General features: G+C 48.1%; 1 pseudogene, besides 2 other annotated features; it reads right to left on the reverse strand.

The window, feature by feature from the left end:
- Positions 783-1,283: an enhancer, noted in NCBI's record as "H3K4me1 hESC enhancer chr9:45414633-45415133 (GRCh37/hg19 assembly coordinates)". NCBI's record gives its function as "activates a minimal SCP1, AML or CMV promoter by ChIP-STARR-seq in primed H9 embryonic stem cells {active_cell/tissue: H9 hESC(primed)}" and the evidence as "EXISTENCE:reporter gene assay evidence [ECO:0000049][PMID:30033119]".
- Positions 1,436-2,214: an enhancer, noted in NCBI's record as "H3K4me1 hESC enhancer chr9:45415286-45416064 (GRCh37/hg19 assembly coordinates)". NCBI's record gives its function as "activates a minimal SCP1, AML or CMV promoter by ChIP-STARR-seq in naive H9 embryonic stem cells {active_cell/tissue: H9 hESC(naive)}" and the evidence as "EXISTENCE:reporter gene assay evidence [ECO:0000049][PMID:30033119]".
- CDRT15P6 (CDRT15 pseudogene 6) lies at positions 10,006-10,788 on the reverse strand (annotated as a pseudogene).

The raw sequence follows: 19,393 nt of genomic DNA on the forward strand, positions 1-19,393 counted from the left end.
TGTGGGCAGAGACCCTCACTTCCAATCCCCACAAGGGGCTGTGCAGTGGGGAGGACGAGGCCCCCTCCTCTGACTGTCTCCTCCAAGACCCTGTTTTCTGAGGAAGGTCACTCTGGGAACTGTTGGCCTCTGCAGATGGGGACCTGGACCATGTGGAAAGATGATGTGAAGGTCACACCTGGCAGGCACCAGCGCTGGAGGGCAAACCTCACCTTTAAAACTCACACTTTTTTAAAAAATTTATTTTTATTTTTAATTTATATGAGTACATGGTAGGTGTATATATTTATGGGGTACATGAGATAGTTTGACACAGGCATGCAATGTGTAATAATCACATCAGGGTAAATGGGGCATTCATCACCTCAAGCAAGGGAAATGCCAGCTGCTTATAAAACCATCAGATCACATGAGAACTCACTTACTATCATGAGAACAGCATGGGGAAACTGCCGCCATGATTCAGTTACCTCTCACTGGGTCCCTCCCAGGACACATGAGGATTATGGAAATTACAGTTCAAGATGAGATTTGGGTGGCAACGCAGCCAAACCATATCACCTTATAAAATTAATAATGTGGAAATAGCAGCGGGCCTGAGTCCTGACACCTGCAGTGTGATGCCCCCTCTTGAGGAGGGCCTGGCTTCTGTGCCATGCAGAAACTTTCCTGTGCTTCCTGCTGGCTTGGGGTGAGCCAGGTCCTCCTGGGGGAGCTGGGCACTTGTGGGACAGGAGAGTCCCTGGCCTGGGGTCTCCATTTGCCTCCTTACCCCATCAGCAAAACACCAGAGGAGCCAACTCAACAAACCTCAATGCACGGCACTTCCTGGACCCTAGGTGCTCAGGGCCCCCTGAGCTGCCCTGGGGCAGAACACTGGGCAGTGGCCAGTGCTTTCCCAACAACTCCCCCATGCACAGATGCCTGGTGGACACACTTCCCTTAACCCTGCTCAGCTGGAGCTCAGCCCCCATCCTAGTACCTCTGCCTCCTCCTCCAGGGCAGGAAAAGGAAACCCAACTCCAAACCCATGGAGAATCCTCATCTTGGGTGAGGCCCTGGCTGGGACTCAGCTCCTTGTCAGGCCCTTGAGGAGCTCCATCTTCCTCTGTTTCCCTGCCCCATGGGACCCTGGGCCTCTGGGAAAGAGTTGAGGGTGTCATCCACTCAGCAGGTACCGCATGATCTTTGGGAAGGATTTGTGTTATACCTACTCCTGGTGGGATAGGAGCCTCCGGAGCTGGGCAGTATTTGGGCTGTAGAAACCTGAGAAGCCCCTGACCCATCATGCATCAGAGCCCACTCCCAAGATGTGGAGCCATCAGCTGGAAGAGCTGGGCAGTGGCAGGGGACCCCAGACCCTGAGGCCTTCCTCCCTTCCATCAGGTGACCCTACCATGTGGTCTCAGCTCTAGGGAGATGGGCCCTAGCTGGAGGCACTGCACAGCAGCATCCTGGGTAAAGGTGCCAGGAGGGCAGGCCTGCCTTTGAGGCTGTGAGGCAGGGCTGGGGCAGGCAGTGGCTAGTGGAGGGAACCGGGTGGGTGCTGAAGGACTACATGGCCATCTCCTGGACATGGGGTCTGGCTAGGGGACATGGGATGGGCAGACACTGCCATCTTGACTTCATTGGCCCATCTGTGGGCTAGGGGGGCAGCTGGGAGTGTGGCCAGCTGGGAGGTAGGAGGACTCTTGGGGAAGTGAGAGTCACCTGCATGAACTCAGGGCTAGAGGGCTGTGGCTCTGGGACACACAGGGTGGCCAGGGGGAGGCTGCAGCGCCCTCTGCTGTTGGGAATGAAAGGTGTCCGCCTTGAAGTGAAAGGGTCCCTGTTCAGCTATGGGCCCCTCTGGGACCCCCAGCAGGGATGTCCTGAAGGCTCCTAACAAGCTGGAAAGCAAGGAAGCTGCCTTGCCTGGAAGTCAGGATCGCCCAGCCAGGGTGGCCGTCCCATGGCCCAGCTGTGTGAGGCCCTGGGGGTAGCTGTCCACCTACCCTGCAGGGAGTGCCTCTCCTCAGCCATCCGCTGATCCAGTGCCCAGAAGTTGTCTTCCTCTGGCAGATACAGGAGGAGGATGGCAGTTAGGCAGCTCATGTCCCTGTAGTAGCCCACCTCCTGCAAGAGCCAGAGTCACCATGGAAGCATGTCACCTGAGAGGGCTGAGGCCATCTGGGAGGACTCATGTCACTGGAGAGGACAGAGGTCACCTGGGAGACCTCCCTCAGGCCCTAGGGGATTTAGGGTGCAGACTCTGCACCCCTCCCCTGACCCTGGGCATGAGGACTAAGCAAGTCCCCCACAACTCAGTTGAAAAGGGACCTGGAGGGACTTCTGCAGTGAGTGTCCAACCTCACATGGTCTGAAGGGGCACAGGCAAGGATCATTCACATCCCCTATCCTGGGCCAGGCTGGGAAGGCCAGTGTGCCAGGACTGGGGCAGCACCTGTGAACTGCACCCACCACAAGGGCAGGTGGTGGGCCACTGATCACCACACAGTGGGTCCTCTGATGGCCCAGAGGCTGCCTGCCAGGCACAGGAGGGCGGCTAGGTCCAGACCACATGTGAGCAGCCCATGGAGTGATCTCAGCGGCTCTCCCTGCCTGGAATGGTCTGGGAAGTGGGGGCCAAGCAGGAACAGCCACCTGGGTGACCTCCTCCCTGTCTACTGTGCTCCTACGGGGTTAAGGCAAAGGGGAAATTGGACCCCTGCCAGGTTTCCAATAAAAAGGCTTCCTCACGATGCAAACTCATTTCATGAAAAAAAGCCTGGCCCCATCAGGCACCTCAGCAACTTGTCAAACATGTCTCCTGCAAGGACTATCTTGTGTGCAACACTGCTAAGCTCCTTGTTTGGGGTGGCACCAGGAGGGGAGTGTCATTTCTTCTTCTGAGACATGGTGGTTGGGTCCAGGTGACATCAACAGTCTGGGCCCTGAACCCTTTCCATCTCAGCGGGACCCCTTGAGACACCAGCTTCCCTTCCTTGCTTGGGTGTCGACGCCAGCAGTTCTACCTACTACGTTATTACAGTCAGATCAGGATAAATGTCCTCTCTCTGGAATAAATGCAGTGACCACTGTTCTTTGAGCATTATTTATCTTAAATTATTGTTTTAATTAGAAATGTATCTAACTTACATTAGCCAAATTTCCTTTCAATGTAACCAAATTTCTTTTAAGTGAAAATTAAATATTTACCTTCATCAAGCATTCTATGAATATAAAATGTTTATTTTTTTCAACTTTAGAAGAAATTGAAAATGTCTACATGCTACTAATCTAAAAAACAGGCTCTGGGTTTATATGGTGTTAACCTTTCTTCCAAATTTTAAGGAATAGATATTTAAATGCCATCCACTTTGTTTGAAAATACATAAAATGTTTTAAGCTTTTGATCTCAAAATTTACGATAGCACAGCTACTCCATAATGAATAAACCACAGAATCAAAACGAAGAAAGATTCTACAGACCAGTCTAACCAACAATACAATTATAAACTAGTGGTTCAAATATCAAAAACCAATTTCAATGACAAATGCATGGTATGTAAACCCTGCAAATGTCAAGTAGAATATATTATACTTGAATGAAATTATGAGTTGAGAGTAGGAAACCTATGTTTAACCAAGCAAATTAAATAAAGTTTATGAGGAAATTATACTGCTAATGTTTTATTATTTGGCAAGCTATTCAGTGGAACACAAAGATATTCTTAATGAAGTTGAAAATATATTTTAAAATGTGACTGAAGTGGATTAAAAAATAATGAGGACATGAATAACTTTAAAAAGTATTCAGGGATAAAGAGAGAAAAATAAATTTAGATTTCATACATACATAAAATATATTTAAAAAGTTGTGTTTTTTGGTTGCTTGAATAAAGGGAGCAGATATTTAAATTCCATGCCTTTCATTTTAAAGTTTAGGAAATGCTTATAGCTTTCCACACTGACATTTATACTAACACAGTTAATCTAATCGAGGGATAACAAAATCAAAACAAGCAGAATTCTCTTGACCAATCTATTTTCTTGATTTTTAAAAGTCAATGTGCTCTCAAAGAAACAAAACTATTATTCATGGATTCTGTTATTTGAAAATATTTACTGATCATTTTTACCTTACACCAAGTGATCTCCAGCTCGTGGAAAAATATGTAAAGTTGCCCAGCTTCATTAAGCTTAAACTCTTCTGAAGGAGAAAAGAAGCAATGGAGTAGGGACATTAAAGCAGGAGTGTGGTGATATGGCTGAGACTTCTACTTGCACACTGTGGTAGCTGTGTGGAGACTGGATTGAAAAAAGGGCAATGACAGAAGCTTAAATTAGTATCAAATATGGCAATCTTATAATTTTAAGGGTCCTTGAAATAAGAATGTATAATAGTTCTCATTATTTCCCCAAGAAATCTCTGCACTTGGCCTTGTGAGGGAAGTGCTATAGTTACCAAGTGGTGGGGGTGGGAAGGTGAATTTTCAACAACATTTGGAATTACTACACTTTAAAGGTAAAGCTGGCAGGAATTCCATACACATCAGATCTGAAAATGTGTGTGTGTGTGTGTGTGTGTGTCTGTCTGTCTGTGCGTATTTGTGTGTGTGTGAAGCAGGGAGAGAGAGCAAGAGTGAGAGTGAGCAAGAGAGAGGAGAGAGGGGGAGAGAATCAGACAGATACAGGAAGAGAGTGACAGAGATATAGAGACAGAATTAAAAGGGGACACCAAGAATATTGAGCTGAGAAACTATAAAATGGGAGTTGCCATTAAACAGAATGGGGAAGAGCAAATTTGGGGAGTTTCAGTGGCTCCATACAGACATATTAATTTTGAGATTCCTAACTGATATCCACGTGGATAAGTCAGGGAGTGTTGGGTGTAGTGTCCAGTGTTTAGGTGTAATATGAAATATCAGGAAATTAATGACACAAAAATTAGTAAGAAAGCAAAGATAAGAAAGATAAGAAGTGAAAGTCCTGAGCCTAATGGTCCTCTAACATTTGAAAAATAGTAAAGATGAAACCTGCAAAAAAGGACTAGGGGTAATTTTCAAAAACGTGGTGGGGGGAAAGTAAGTTAAGTGTTCTGGAATTCTATAAAAAAGTTTTACAAAGAGAAGGTGGAGATAGACTGTGTGAAATGCTGCTGATATATAAATTAAGATGAAGGCTGAGAAGTTATGGTTCAATTTATAATTTAACAATATGGATAGCACTTATATTTTGATATGAGCAGCTCGTTGGAATGAGTAGGTGAGAAACCATATTGGAGTGGTTGCTGAGATGAAAGTCTGATCCCTGGATTCTTAAGGAAAAATTTTATTGGACTGCAGAGGCATAAATTGGATTTTTAATTCTGGAGTCAGGATGTGCTCACTAAACATGTGCCCATCAATGCCTCCTCGCATTTTTTTTTAGCTAGGTATTCTGTTATCTTTTAATAATATAATAATTACCTGCAAAACCTACACCCATGTTGCAGCAAACCACCATGACACATGTATACCTGTGTAACAAAACTGCATGTTCTGCACATTTATCCCAGAACTTAAAGTAGAGAGAGAGAGAGAGAGAGAGAGAGAGAGAGAGAGAGAAAACCCAGCCAAGTGCGGTGGCTCATGACTGTAATCCCAGAGCTTTAGGAGGCTGAAACAGGTGGACCATCTGAGGTCAGGATTGAGAACAGCTTGGCCAATATGGTGAAACCCTGTCTTTACTAAACATATAAAAATTAGCTGGGTGTGGTGGGGGGCACCTGTAGTCCCAGCTACTTGAGAGGCCAAGGCAGGAGAATCACTTGAACCTGGAAGGCAAAGACTGCAGTGAGCTAAGATCACGCAGCAGCACTACAGCCTGGGTGACAGGGTGAGACGGTCTCAAAAAGAAAAACAAAAACAAAAAAACACCCATTTAATTGACAAACTTTACAAAGACTGATACTAGAGGTTGTTGGAGAGGACGTTGTTCCACATATCTTATGAGTTACCGATGGACAAGTAAGATGGTAAAATGCCTTTGAAAAACTGACCATACCTGCTATACTTAAATATTCAGATACCAAACACCCAGAAATTCCATCTTGTCATTTATTTCCACAAGAAAAAGCAAGAGACCTGTATTAAAATATCCATTTCTATTAAAAATAATCACACTAGGTTTCCTGAAATTTTTTTATTGGTAGCTCTTGTTTTCAGCAGTACAACTTCTAACATATATGTGTATATATATTTAATATATGTATATATGTATATATATTTAATATATGTATATATGTATATATATTTAATATATGTATATATGTATATATATTAGACAGATATATATGTATATTATACACATGCATATATTATATATTATGTATATATGTATATAATACATATGCCTATATTATATATTATGTATATATGTATATAATACATATGCATATATTATATATTACGTATATATGTATATACACACATATGTATATGTTATATATACACACATATGTATATATATTATATATATACACACATATGTATATATGTTATATATACACACATATGTATATATATACACACACATATGTATATATGTATCTATGCATAATATATGTATATGTATTAGGCAGAGTTTTGCTCTTGTTGCCCAGGCTGGAGTGCAATGGTGCAATCTCGGCTCACTGCCACCTCCACCTCCCGGGTTCAAGCGATTGTCCTGCCTCTGCCTCCCGAGTAGCTGGGACTACAGGCTTGTGCCACCACCCTCGGCTAATTTTGTATTTTTAGTAGAGATGGGGTTTCACCATGTTGGTCAGGCTGGTCTCGAACTCCTGACCTCAGGTGATCCACCTATCTTGGACTCCCAAAGTGCTGGGATTACAGGTGTGAGCCACTGTGCCCGGCCTATTTTGTATTTTTTAATCTACCACACTCTAAGAACACATATTTTAAATCAATTTGTACATTCAGTGCCTAGAACAAAACCAGCATTTTGTAGATTCCAAAGAATTATTTGTTGTATAAATGATGAATAACTTAAATAAGTTATTATTTATCACATCTATATACAAACAATATATTACCTGAGAATACAGTGATAACATTTGTTATGTATAAAATGATTTCAATCTCAGTTAAAAATATTTTTTGCATAAGTTATTGTCATATGCAGATGCTCACATTGTTTTGTTTAGATGAAAATGTTTGTAACTACTATGCACATTTTTGTTACTTAAGCCTTTTGGTCTTGCTGCCGTAGCAAATCCTGTGCCTCTTAAGAACATGAACCTGTTTTACTTCATTTTTTAGCAGATTTCTTAATGAAATATATACCATACTATTTTGTTTAACACATAAGCAGACACCCTGTCAGAAGCAAAGAGACATCTACTCCACCATTACCACCCATGCCTCTGCTAATGTGGCTGCTGAAGATGTTACCTAGAGCAGAGGACTTTGTGTTCAACCTAAGCACTTTATATCCTTTATTTTCAATTGGGTAGGAGATAAAATAATTCAGCAGCAATAAAAGTCACACTTCTTAAAGTTGCAGTCTCGCCAATGCACCACAACGTAGCAGTCTCTCTTGTGAGGTATCATCTGGTGTTCTTCATCTCACCACCAAGATGATTAAGGGACGGGGACACACAGGTGAGGTGGGAGTGAAAGTTTAACAAGCAAAAGGAGGAAGCTCTCTGCAGCAGACAAGGGCGTCCAAGTGGATTGCCGTTTTTACAGTTGAATCAAAAAGCTTTTATAAGAAACTCCTCTCAGCTATATATAAAACTGTCGGCACAATTCCCTTTATATATCCAGCTGTGGGTATGTCTCTAGTCAAGCACAAAGTGGGCTTCTCTTGTTTCTATAACTGTGGGTTTGTTTTAGGTAAGCCCCCCTCCTCCCTGCGCAAGTTCCCACAGAGACCGCCATGTATATGCCTGAAAAAGGGAGGAAAATTTTACCTGGGAGCTTGCCAAATACACAAAGAACAGAAGGCATCTGTGCTGGACCCTGCATGCTTATCTGTTCAGGGCTTATCTGTAGGTGCAGTAGTTGTGATTTTTCAGGCAGACAGCTTCCCTGAGGACCAGTCTCTTACTTGTTTACTCAAATAATTTTCCTTTCCTTCTCCCTCAACATTGTGTAGCAAAACAGAGTACACTTCTCTTTCCCAGTAAATCAGTGTTGGTACTCCACTCTGAATACTTGTATTATTGGATTTCTTAGGAAAAAAATATTTGGGATCATAATTTAGATGCCATCAATGAACAAAAATATGCTACTTCGTTTCCCCTCTCTTCTCTTGTTACCAGACAATAGCTAGTTTTCTTTTCTCTCCAACTCCTTTTTTCTGTGCTTCTACCTGATTTTTTAAAAAAACTTCTACACATTTCCAATCTTAGTATAGCAGACATCAAATATGTGGTCAAACTACATACATAAGAAGAGTTGAATTATATAATTATATTCAAGCATTTTAAAATAATTCCCCTTCAGTTTGTTTTGCAGTTATTTTACATAATCAAATGTCTTCCTGATATACGTCCCAACCCAGTGGTTGTCAAGCTCTGCTTTGTTTTCTAATTGCATCAGAATTATCCACAATTCTTTTTTTTTTTTTTTTTTTTTTTTTGAGATGGAGTCTTACTGTTGCCCAGGCTGGAGTGCAGTGGTGTGATCTCAGCTCACTGTCATCTCTGCCTCCCTGATTCAAGTGATTCTCCTGCCTCAGCCTCCCAAGTAGCTGGGACTACAGGCATGTACCACCATGCCTGGCTAATTTTTGTATTTTTAGTAGAGATGAGGTTTCACCATGTTGGCCAGGCTGGTTTTGAATTCCTGACCTCAAGTGATCCACTGCCTGGGCCTCTCAAAGTAAGAATTATCCAAAATTCTTATGATAAATATGGATAAATCAGCACAACTCAAGATTTAATAAAAATTTCCAAGAGAAGAAACCCAGGAATATGCATTGAAAACGTCTCCCTCAGGTGATTCTGATGTGATATGTGGTCTGAGTTTAAAATGCAAGGAAAATTACCTTCCCTGCCCTCCAGTTGGCCCTTATGTCCAGATGTCCCTCTTCCCCTTTCTCATTGTGCTCTCTCCTGTGCCTTTGTTCTATTCTCCCTCCACTTCTCATCCAGATGCCAAGCCCTCTTCCATCAATTTCCTAAAACTCCAAATGGTCAGTTGCCTCTGTCCCATGAACAAGTTACTCAGGCAAACGTAGAATTTCGGCTTGGACCAAGCTGAATCAAGAGCTGCAATTAAAGATTTCCCTAAGCCCAGAGGGGACCAGCAAATACTTATAGAAGATTTTGGATTTCCTCCGAATGCATAAGGCTCTGGGTAACCTGATGCTATAGACCAAATGTTATTGTCCCTCTCAAATTCAAGTGTTGAAATCTAATTCCCTATGTGATGATATTTGGAGGTAGGGCCTTGGGGAATGATTAGATCATGAAGGCAGGGACCACATGAGTGGGATTAGTAGCCCCTATTGAAGGCACCATAGAGAGCTCCCTCATCTCTTCTGTCATGTGAGGACATGGTAGAAACATGGCTATGAACCACAAAGCAAGCCCACACCAGACACAGAATCTGCTAACCACTTGACCTTGAATTTTGCCATCTCCAGAACTGAGAGAAACAAATTTGTTTATAAGCTTCCTCATCTATGGCATTCTGTTTTGACCCCAGATTAGCTAAAAACACCAAAATATCAACTTGTACACCAAATTTTCGAAATGGATGCTAAAACTTTGATGGCAAAAGGTGACTGATCTGCCTGAGAAATGAACCTACATGATCCCTCTTTCCACAAAGCTGGAGGGAGAGTCAACACAAGCAAAAATAGGTCAAAGTCTTCTAAAAGCCGTACCTGAAGGGTTTTCAATATCACTTGATCAGATGGTAATTTAGTCACCCAAAGAACCACAACAAAACACACAACTATCAGAGGTTTTCAACGTCACCTCAAAAACACCATCTACAATATTAGGGAGTGAAAGAAGTCATAGAAGTTTCAAAAAGTCAAACTTTATTTCAGTGTTATGGTAGAAATTTGAAATTCTTAGTTAAGCTATGAATAAATCCTTGGGCAGGTGCAGGCATGGAGATTCTGGAGTGCTGCTGCTGAGTTTAAGAGCTTCCTTTGGAGATGCCCCCTGGCCCCCTCAACCCCTGTCCACCTGTCAAGAAGAGGCCATCCTGGGCAGCACATTAGAGGCAAATGGCCCAGATGCCCAGCTGAGGGCAAACCTCCATTCCTGGAGGAGGAGGTCACCTCTGGGAGCCGGAGGACCTGCTGGAACCCCTGCTCACAGGCTCCTTTTCTTGCTCTCCAGCACCTCCTGCAGGCAGGCAAACACCCCCAGCAGCAGTAGCAGCAGGGCCTTCAGCAGCAGGGCTGCTGCTCTGCTGAATGAGAGAAGTCCCTCTCCAGTGAGGCAGAGGAGCCCAGGTTGCACACCCTGGTCTCTGCCTCCATAGCTTCCACTGTGCCCAGGACTGGGAGCAGTGTGGGAGCTGCTGGCTGGAGCTGTGCTGGTCACCCCCTCTCTGCCACCTCTAGCTCCAGCCACACTTTCAGCTCCAGGGCTGAGGCCGGTGGCTCTACAGGAGGTGCCATGGAGTCAGGCAGCTTCTCACTGGGCTGGTCCTGTGCAGTCCCAGGGCAGCGGCAGGAGGGCTCTGGAGCTTCCTCTAGCTCCAGCGCTGTCCCTGGAAGGGGCTCTGCCCCTGGTGCTGGCACTGGCTCAACAGCTGGCACTGGAAATAGCTGTGTTTCTGCACCTGAAGCAGGAGCTGAAAAAGGAGAGAGGTCACCAATATCACTCACTTTCCACTGGAATTTCCAAACATGAAAACAACCTCACTGAATTTAAAGGAATTTCAGCCTGAAAACATTGTCCCTGGAAAGACTTCCAGACTGCAGGTGACCTCACCATGTGCCTGTGTCTCAATGAGCTCCAGAGGCTCCAGCTGGACAAGGACAATGTGCAGATGTGGCCCTGGTGGGATCACTGGTGAGGCCTGGCCTGGTAGCTCCATCTGGGGCCTGATGTCTACCTGGTGACTCCTGTCCTGTGGTACCTGGGGGGGCCTTCTGTCAAATGGCCAGAGACATCTGGGGTGAGGGATGAGCCTACAAGGGCATCGTTGGAAAAGAAAGGCTCTCACTCCTGCCATTCCTGAAGCAGGAGACTTGAGATATGGGGATGCAGCACAAGAACATCTTGCTCTCTTGAGCATTTCCCACCAAGTGAGCTGGCTATGGGGCTAACTCTAGGATGTGGGTGCCTGGTTATCGGGATTCTTTTTTTTTTTTTTTTTTTTGAGACATTGTCTCATTCTGTTGGCCAGGGTGGAGTGCAGTGGCATGATCTCGGCTCACTGCAACTTCCGCCTATTGGGTTCAATCAATTCTCCTGCCTCAGTCTCCTGAGTAGCTGGGATTACAGGCACGAGACACGCACCACAACACCTGGCTAGTTTTTTTGTGTTTGTTTTTTGTTTGTTTGTTTGTTTTGAGACAGAGTCTCGCTCTGTCACCCAGGCTGGATGGAGTGCAGTGGCGTGATCTGGGCTCACTGCAAGCTCCGTGTCCTGGGTTCATGCCTTTCTCCTGCCTCAGCCTCCCGAGTAGCTGGGACTATAGGCGCCCACCACTACCCCCGGCTAATTTTTGCATTTTTAGTAGAGACGGGGTTTCACTGTGTTAGCCAGGATGGTCTCGATCTCCTGACCTTGTTTGCTTTTTGTATTTTTAGTAGACATGTGGTTTTACCATGTTGTTCAGGCTGGTCTCGATCTCCTGATTTCATGATCCTCCTGCCTCAGCCTCCCAAAGTGCTGGGATTACAGGTGTGAGCCACCGTGCCTGGCCTGGTTACCAGAATTCTAAGTTCTGTTAGGGTCTGTTGCCAAAGAAGTGAGGTTGCTTCTTTAAGGTTCCATCCCCTCAGCCTCCTCCTTCCAGAAGACCTACTCAGGACCCCAGTGGGCTGCTGACTGCTCATCCTCCCCACAGGTCAACTCCTTACCTGTACACAGTTATGTCCACCCAGGGCCTACTTGGACACCTGCACCTGATGTTCACCAGGGGCCTAGGAATCCACTTGGGGCCTGGGATCCTACAGGGGACTAATGTTACCCTGCAGATTGAGTAGCCACCTGGGGACCAGGTATCAACCTGGGGACTGTGGTTGACCTGTGGGTTAATGTCCACCTGGGGACTGGTTATTCAGCTGAGGCCTGATGCGTACCTGGGGCCGAATGTCCCCCTCAGGGTGAATTCCACCTCAGACCTGTATGTCCACCTGGGGCCTGATGTCTGCCTTAGATCTATGTCCCACTGGGGCCTTGTGATCACCGGGGACTGGTATCCAGCTGTGGCCTGATGACCTACTGCATCCTGTTGCTCACCTACGGCCTGGTGTCTACCTGGGGCTTGGTGATCGCCTGGGAACTGGATATCAACCTGGGGCCTGGGTGTCCACTTAAGGCCTGATGTGTGCCTGGGGCCTGACTGTCCACCTGGGGACTGGGTGTCCACCTTGGGTCTGATGACTACCTGAAGTTAGGTATCTACCTAAGGCTTGGTGTCTACCTGTGGCCTGATGTCCACATGAGTCTGGGGTTCAGTTGGGGCCTGCTGTACATCTGGGACCTTGGTGTCTATCTGAGGCCTGATGTCTACCTGGTGACTGCCATCCTCTTGAGGCCTGATATCCACCTGGGAATGGTTTATCCATGGAAATGGTTATCTCCGCCTGGGGCTGGATGTTGCCCAGGGGCTAGATGTCCACCTGTGGCCCCGTGTTCACCTAGTGCCTGATGTCCACCTGGGGCATGGTGTTCACCTGAGACCCGGGTATTTACATAGGGCCTGATGTCCAGCTGGTGCCTAGGTGCCCACTGGGGGCCTTGTGTTAACCTGGGGACTGGTATCCAGCTGGGTCCTAATGACCACCTGGGTTGAATTATTCACCTAGAGTTTGGTATTCACTTAGGGCTTGAGTGTCAGCCTTGGACATGGTGTCCACCTGGGCCTTGGTTATCAAACAAGGGGTTTGGTATCCAGTTGAGACATCATTTGCACCTGGGGTCTGAGTGTTCGCATGAGGCCAGATGACCACTGGGGGCCTGAATGTCAACCTGGTGTCTGAAATTCACTGGAAGACTAGGTATCTAGCTGGGGCCTGATGTCCACCTGGGACTAGGTGTCAACATGTGGCCTGATGTAAACCTCTAGTTGAGTGTCCACCTTGGGCCTGATGTCCACTGGGGGACTGATGTTCCCCTTTGATCTGATGTCTACCTGGAAACCGTGTATTCACCCATGGCCTGATGGTCACCTGGGGTTGAATGTCCAACTGTGGCCAGATGTGCACCCGGATTCTGGGCATCCACCTGGGGCCTGATGTTCAGCTGGGGCCTGGAGTTCACCTGAGGCATGATGCCTACCTGAAGCTTAATGTTCATCTGAGTGCTGGATGTTCACCTGGGGCCTGATATCCACCTGGACCCTTCTCAGGCCTGATGTCCACAAGTTGGCCTGGTATTCATCTGGGGCCTTCGTGTTAACCTGTGGCCTAATGTACTCCTGGGTTCTAGTGTCCTCTTGGGACCTGATGTCTACCAGGATCCAGGTATCCACCTGGGGCTCAGTATCCACCTAGGGCTTGATATTCACCTGGGGCCTAGGAATCCACTTGATAACTGGTGCCATCGGGGTCCTGATGTTCACCTTGGGACTGGGTAACCACCTGAGGCCTGATGTCCACTTAGGGCATAAGTGTTTATCTGGGGTCTAGTGTTCACATAGGGTCTGATGTCAACCTTGAGACTAGGTATTCACCAGGGGACTAGTGTCCAGCTGGGGCCAGATGTTCGCTTGGGGCCTGGTGTCAACTTGGAGCATGGTTGTCAACCTAGGATCTGATGTCCAGTCCAGTGTCCACCTTGGGCCTGTTTACTACCCAGGGCCTCTGTGTCCACATAGACCGTGGTGTCAATCTGGGGCCTGGGTATTTACCGGGCGCCTGGATATTCATTGGTACATTATGTCTACTGGAGTCTTTGTGTCAATCTGAGCTCTGATGTCTACCTAGAGATTGGGTATCCATCTAAGGCCTGGTGTTTACATGGGGCCTGTAACATGAGGTTCCAGATGAACTCAGATGTCCACCTGAGGCCTGATGTCCACCTGAGTTCTGAGTGTTCATATAGGGCCTGCTGTCAACTTGGGACCTAAGTATTTACCTAGGGCCTGGGTGTCCACCTGGGGCCTGACTTCCAACTAGATCTTGTGTCAACATGGGGCCTGATGTCCACTTTGGGCCTAGGTAACTTCCTGATGACTAATGCCCACATGGCTCCTAAGGACCATCTGAGGCCTGGTATTAATTTAGAGACTGGTATCCACCTGGGGTCCAGGTATCCACTTGGGACCTGATGTTCACCTGGAGTGTAGGAATTCACGTGGGGCCTGGTATCCACCTTCAGGGTGTGTATCCAATTGAGTGCTGGTGTCCACCTGGAGTCCCGTGTATACCTGGGGCCTGATGTACACATGGAGCCTGGGAGTCCATCCAGGACCTGATGTTCAGATAAGGGCTGGCGTTCTCCTGGCCTGGTGTCCACATGGAGCCTGGGTGTACACTTGAAGCCTGATATCCCAGGTGGATACCTGGGCCCCAGTGGTCATCAGATCCTAGGAACCTCTCAGGCCCCAGGTGCACATAAAGCTCCAAGTGGCCACCTAGGCCACAGGTTGATACACAGGGTCCAGGTGGACACTGGTTGCAAGTTGAACACCAGGCCCCTGGTGAACACCAAGCCCCAGGTGTCTGCCTAGTCCTCAAGTGGACACCAGGCTCTAGATTGACACACAGGTACCAGGTGGATATCAGGCCACAGGTGAACACCAGGCCCCAGGTGGTTGGGTTACTTATAGCATAGGTGGCCATCAGTTCCCAGGTCTATATCCACTCCCCACTTGAAAATCAGGATCCAGGTGGATACCCACGTCCTAGGTGAACACCAGGTTCCAAATGAACATCAGGCTCCAAGTGAACACACAGGCCCCAGTTCAATACCAGCCTCAGGTAGACATCAGGCCCCAGGTGCACCCCAGGCCCAATGTGCATGCCTAGTCTCTTGGAATACATCATTTTCAAGGTGGACACCCAGATTCCTCAAAGACATCTGGTGCCAGGTGGATATCTGGCTGCAGGTGGACATCAGGCCCCAGGTGGAGACCCAGTACACAGGTGTAAATCAGGCTCCAGTATTTCATCAGGCCCCAGTTTAACACTTGACTAAAGGTGTGCATCAAGACCCAGGTTGACAGCCAGGCTTCAGGTGCACACTAGGCCCAAAGTGTACACCTGTGCCAAGGTGGGCATCAGGCCCAAGGTGTACACCAGACCCCAAGTGGACATCAGGTTCCAGGTTGACACCAGTCTCTAGGTAGATCCTTAAACCCCAGTTGGTCATCAGGCCCAAGGTGGATACCTTGACCCCAGGGGGTCACCAGGTCTCAGGTCGACACTAAACCCTAGGTTCAAGGTCTGAGATGGTTTCAGCCCCCATGTGGACTTTAGTCATAAGGAGCTTACCTAGGCCCTAAGTGGACATCAGGCCCCAGGTTGACACAATGAACCATGTAGAAGTCAGGCTGTAAGTAGACACCCAGGCCCTAGGTAAATACTTTGGTCCCAAGCCAACATCAGGCCCTATGTGGACACCCAGACTCCAGGCAGATGTCAGGCCCCAGGTGAACACTGAACTCAGGGCGGTCATCAGGCCCTAGGTTGACACATAGGCCTCAGGTAGACAACAGGCACAGGTGAACTTCAGGCTCCAGATGAACGTCGGGCTCCAGGAAGAAATCTGTGCCCCAGTTAAACACCGGGTCTTAGGTAGACATCAGGCCTCAAATGGATGCCCAGGCCCCAGGTGGATATAAGGCCTCAGGCAAACACCAGGCCCCAGGTAGACATTAGACACGAGATGGACACTCAAGCCACAAGTGAACATCTGTCCCCAGGTGGACATCCACCCAAGGTGGACATCAGGCCAGAGATGTACACCCAGGCCCCAGGAGAACCCCAGGCCCCAGGAGGACACTCAAGTGCCAGAAGGACACCCAGTCCCTAGGTAACTACAAGGCCCCAAGTGGACATGATATTCCAGATGGATATGAGGCCCCAAGTGGATACTAGGCCCAGGTGGACCCCAGATCTCAGGGGCACACCAGGCCCCAGGGGAACACCAGGCCCTAGGTAAGCATGCAGTCCCAGGTGGACATCAGTTGCCAGGAGGACACCAGGACCCAGTTGCTCATCAAGCCACAGCTGAACACCAGTTCCCCATGAACACCAGTCCTCAGGTGGGCACCTAGTCCTCTTGTGTGCATCAGGTGCCAGGCTGACATAGGCACCAGCTGAACTCTGGGCCTCAGGTGAACATCAGATCCCAGGTTGTCACCCAGGCCCCAGGTGAACACCAGGTTTTAGGTGGACATGAGGCCCTAGGTGGATGTCTATGCTCCTGGTGAACCTCAGGCCCTAGTGGACACTCAGGCCCTTTATAGACATCTGGCTCCATGTGCACTCCCAGGGCCCAGGTAGACATGAGGCCCCAGAGGAACGCCAGTCCTTAATCACCTAAGACTGAATTCCCCTAGGGCTGGAGACTGAGTATTCACCTTGGGCCAAGGAATCTACCTGGGGCCAGATGTCGATCTGGGGCCTGATGTCTACTCAGGTTCAGCTGTCCACCTAGGGCAGGGTGTTTTTCTGGGACCCAGAGTCTACCTGAAATCTTGGTATCAACCTAGGGCCTATGTGTCCACTTGGAGTCTGATGTGCACCTGAAGCCTGAGTTTTCACCTGGGATCTGATGAGCACCTGGGGCCCAGGTTTCCATCTGAAACATCAGGCTCTAGTTATACATCTGGGCCCCAGGTATACACTAGGCACCAAAAGAACTCCAGCCCCTATCTTAACATGAGGTCCTAGGTGAATGCCCAGGCCTCATGTCTACATAAGGCCTCAGGTAGACATGACTCCAGGCGGGCATCAGGCCTGATATTGGCTCTATGTCTCCACCCAAATCTCATGTTGAATTGTAATCCCCACGGGTTGAAGAATGGGCCTGGTGAATGGTGATTGAATCATGGGGGCAGACTTCCCACTTGGTGTTCTCGTGATAGAGTTCTTACAAGACCTGGTTATTTGAAAGTGTGTAGCACATCCCCATTCTGTCTCCCTCCTCCTCCCACATGGTAAAAAGGGCTTACTTCCTCTTGGCTTTACATCATGATTGTAAGTGTCCTGAGCCCGCCCAGTCATGCTCCCTATTAAGCCTGAAGAACTGTGGGTCAGTTAAACCTCTTTTCCTCATAAGTTGCCTAATATCAGGTAGTTTTTTATAACTGTGAAAATGGACTAATACAAGGCCTTAGGATAACAACCATGCTTCAGGCCATAGGTGGACATCTGGCTGCAACTGGACACTATTCCCCAGGTGGATACCTAGGCTCAAGGTTGACATTAGTCCCCAGGTAAACAACAAGCCCCAGGTGAATACCTATGCCCTAGTAGACATCAGGCCTCAGGCTGACACTCAGTCTAACCTCAACATTAGGCTCCAGGTGGACGCCCAGACTCCAGGTGGATACTAGACCCCAGGGGTACACCAGACTCCTGGTAGGCATAAGGCCCCAGGAGGACACTAGAATCCAGGTGTACATAAAGCCACTGGTTGACACCAAGCCCTCAGATGAACACCAGGCCAACTAGTGGATGTTAGGCACATGAGAATACTTGGGCACCAGGTAGGTATCAGGCCCCAGGTAAACATCAAACTTCAGGTGGACATCATTCTCCATGTGAACTCTAGCCCCAGCTAAACATCAGGCTCCAGGTGGAAGCCCAGACCCCAGGAGCACTTCTGGCCACAGTTGAACATCTGTCTCCAGGTGAATATCAGACCATGGATGGATAGCAAGTCCCCAGGTGGACATCAGGTCAAAAGTGAATATAAGTCTCTAGGAAGACATCTGGCCCCAGGTGGATACTGAACTAGAGGTTTACATCAGGCCCTAGGTTGACAGCAAGGCCCAGGTAGACCGCAGGCCCCAGGCGAAGACCAGGCCCAGGTGGATACTGAACTAGAGGTTTACATCAGACCCCAGATTGACATTCAGTCCCCAGGTGGTCATGACACCTCAACTGGACACCAAGTCCGTAGGTGTCCCAGGTGTACACCAGGTCAAAGATGAACACAAGACCTAAGGTTGACACTGAAGCCCCAAGTGGACATGAGGCCCTAGGTGAATAATATGACCCAGGGGATCATTAGGACCCAGCTTCATACCAGTCCCCAGGTTTACACGAGGCCCCCAGTAGGTTCCTAAGCTCTAGTTGGACATGAGGTCTCCAGTAGACACCCAGGAGTAAGGTGGACATCAAGCATCAGATGGACGTCTGGCCATGGATGAACATCAAGCCTCACATGGATACCTAGTCCGCAGGTAGACATCAGGCCCCAGTTTGACATCAGTTTCTGGATGGATCCCCAAGCCCCAGGTGGATATCCAGTCTCCAGCTGAACATCAGCCCCTCGTGGACACCCAGGCCCCAGGTGGATATCAGGTGTCAGGTGAACACAAGTCCCTAGGCAGACGTCAGGCACCAGGTGCACACTCAGACCCCAAGAGGACATCTGTCCCCAGGTTGACATCACTCTCAAGGTGTACATTAGGCAACAGATATACACTCAGGTCCAAGGCAGACACGAGTCCCTAGTAAAACTCAAGGCCCCAGGAGGATACTCAAGCCCTAGGTGGATGCCCAGAACCCAGGTAATTACAAGGCCCCAGGTGGATATCAGATTCCCGATGAACATTAGGCCCCAAGTGGATACCTAGGCACCAGGTAGACACCAGGCCCCAGGTGCATACCCCAGTCTCAGGTGCACACTAGGCCCCCAGTGAACACTGGCTCCAGGTGAGCACCCAGTCCAAGGTAGACACCGTGACCCAGGTGGTCATTAGGCCACAGCTGAACACCAATCTTGAGTGAATACCAGATCCCAGGTGGGTACCTAGTCCAGGTGGATATTGGGCCCCAAGTGGACACCCAGCCCCCAGGTGAACATCAAGCTTCAGGTGGACATCATGCCTCAGGTGAACTCCGGGTCCCAGCCCAGCTGAACATCAGGCTGCAGGTGGATGCCTAGGTTCCAGGTGCACAACAAGTCACAGTTGGACATTCAGCCCCAGGTGAACATCAGGCCATGGGTGGATAAACAGTCCACAGGTGGACATCAGGTCAAAGGTGAACATCAGTACTCAGGTGGACATCAGGCTCCAGGTTGACATCAAGCCCAAGGTGGACACTGAA

This window comes from Homo sapiens, chromosome 9 (genome assembly GCF_000001405.40).
Source record: "Homo sapiens chromosome 9, GRCh38.p14 Primary Assembly".
In the NCBI taxonomy this organism is placed as follows: domain Eukaryota; kingdom Metazoa; phylum Chordata; class Mammalia; order Primates; family Hominidae; genus Homo; species Homo sapiens.